This window comes from Homo sapiens, chromosome 11 (genome assembly GCF_000001405.40).
Source record: "Homo sapiens chromosome 11, GRCh38.p14 Primary Assembly".
NCBI lineage: Eukaryota > Metazoa > Chordata > Mammalia > Primates > Hominidae > Homo > Homo sapiens.
In genome coordinates, this window is record NC_000011.10 from 128,372,476 (window position 1) to 128,374,321 (window position 1,846).

The 1,846-nt window shown below is 36.6% G+C and overlaps 1 long non-coding RNA gene across 1 annotated transcript; it reads right to left on the reverse strand.

Moving 5' to 3' along the window:
• Nucleotides 1-483: 483 nt before the first annotated feature.
• LOC124902788 (uncharacterized) lies at nucleotides 484-1,539 on the reverse strand. Its single transcript, XR_007062947.1, has 2 exons — nucleotides 1,328-1,539; nucleotides 484-1,198 (listed from the first exon to the last, which is right to left on the reverse strand). It is a non-coding gene; the product is annotated as an uncharacterized LOC124902788 (long non-coding RNA).
• Nucleotides 1,540-1,846: the final 307 nt, after the last annotated feature.

Below are 1,846 nucleotides of genomic sequence, written 5' to 3' on the forward strand. Positions count from 1 at the left end.
AGATTAGATGATACTCACTCATGGAAATTTCATTGTCAGTCTTCCATCCCACATTTGCTATATGGCCTTAGGATCCTTACAGCCTAATTTTTCTATTAAGTTGGAGGTTTTCACCTTCTTGTTGAAAGTTGGAAATTTAGAGCAAATAAGTTAGTTCATAGTAAGAATATATTAGAGATATTCAAGCAGGAGGGGCCAGGGAAAGTAGATTTAAGAGAAATTACTCCATCTCTTTTCCTTTAAGTATTTTTTTCTCTGGGAATTTTTCCACTGTTCCTCCAAAGATCAGAACATTGAGAAATATTAAGACCTGATGTTAGCAAAAGTCTGTTAGCATTAATTAACCCAGCTTGGTTTTCACTAGGGTGCCTATAGTGTTTTAGCTTCTATTTCAAAACTCAAAATAGTCTGAAACCCAAAGTTAGTTTTTAGTAAATGAGTCACTGAAATTCCTTTGAAAATAAAACCTGATATAGACTGATATATTTATTTATAGTTTTTATTTATCCTACAAAGTATGAATATTCAACAAATATTGATGCATTTATTTAAAAGGTGTGTCTTCAGACCCTGCTGGGGTGATAATGTAGTGGTAGAGGCATTATATTACATTTCTAAGATTCAGAAAATCTCAAATTACAAGACACATCTGGCAATTTGGGATTTTGAATAAGCAAATGTAGACTTGTATTATATGAAAGTTGTGTGCTTTCAGAGCCTTGGAAAAATTCAATGCATGATTTGTGGCACTCAAATGAGATGATGTAACTCAACTTTAAGTCTTGCAGCTAGGCACTGGGCCTATTTTGAGTGGCAGTGTCTCTTATACGTACAGAGCATATTCTGTACCATACCAAAAGAAATCACATTGACTTTCTCAGAGATCATTTCAGGGAAATTCTTGACTTTCTCAGAGGACATTTCAGGGAAATTATTTCCAAGAACTGAAAAGCACCATAGCCTAGATCCAGAAACAATTCTTGTGCTCTGAGTACACACATAAAAACTCATGAGTTGATGGAACTCAGCAAATGCAGCAGTTAGCAATACGCTAGTGAAAATTTTCCCAAATAATGTTTCACTGTCTTGAGGTGGAGAAAAAGGCTGCAATCAAAAATGTTTGAGAGCCGCTTTCATACTGTGTCCTGCTCTTGGAAACTGACCATGCACATTCGCCTATTACATGCTCTGGAAAATCCTGCAAAAACAATAACACAAAAAAACCTGTTTAGCTCATTGTGACCACAAAACTCATCATTTCTGAAAATACCCCATAATGTCTCAAGGTTGATTAACATTTCCATGAAACAAACACTGAGAAAGTTACCTGCTGCCCATTGAACACTGCTAGCAGCTCTGGGTCTCTGGCATTCCCGAATTGGATGACAGACAGAGAACAGCAACCAAGAAACCAGCTCAAGTAGGAAAGATGACAGGCACTCGAATGGGGAAGATTAGTCGGGAAAATAGATGACTTGGAACTTCCTGATTCAATCACTGATTACTGCCTTCAAATGTTTCAATTAATATCTTAAGAGGTTCCTCCTGTAACCAGAGGAATAAAACAAGGTCCTTCAGATAACATTTTCCGACTGGCATATTTTAGCTGAACACAGTTTTTTAAATTGTGTTAAAATACACACAACATAAAATTGCCTATCTTAGCCACGTTTAAATGTACAGTTCAGTCACATTATGTATATTCACATTGTGCAACCATCACCACCATCCATATCCAGAACTTTTTCATCCTCCGAAACTGAAACTCTGAGACCATTAACAATAACTCTCCATTCCCCACTTCCCTTAACCCTGGAAGCTACCAGTCTACTTTCTGTTTCTATGA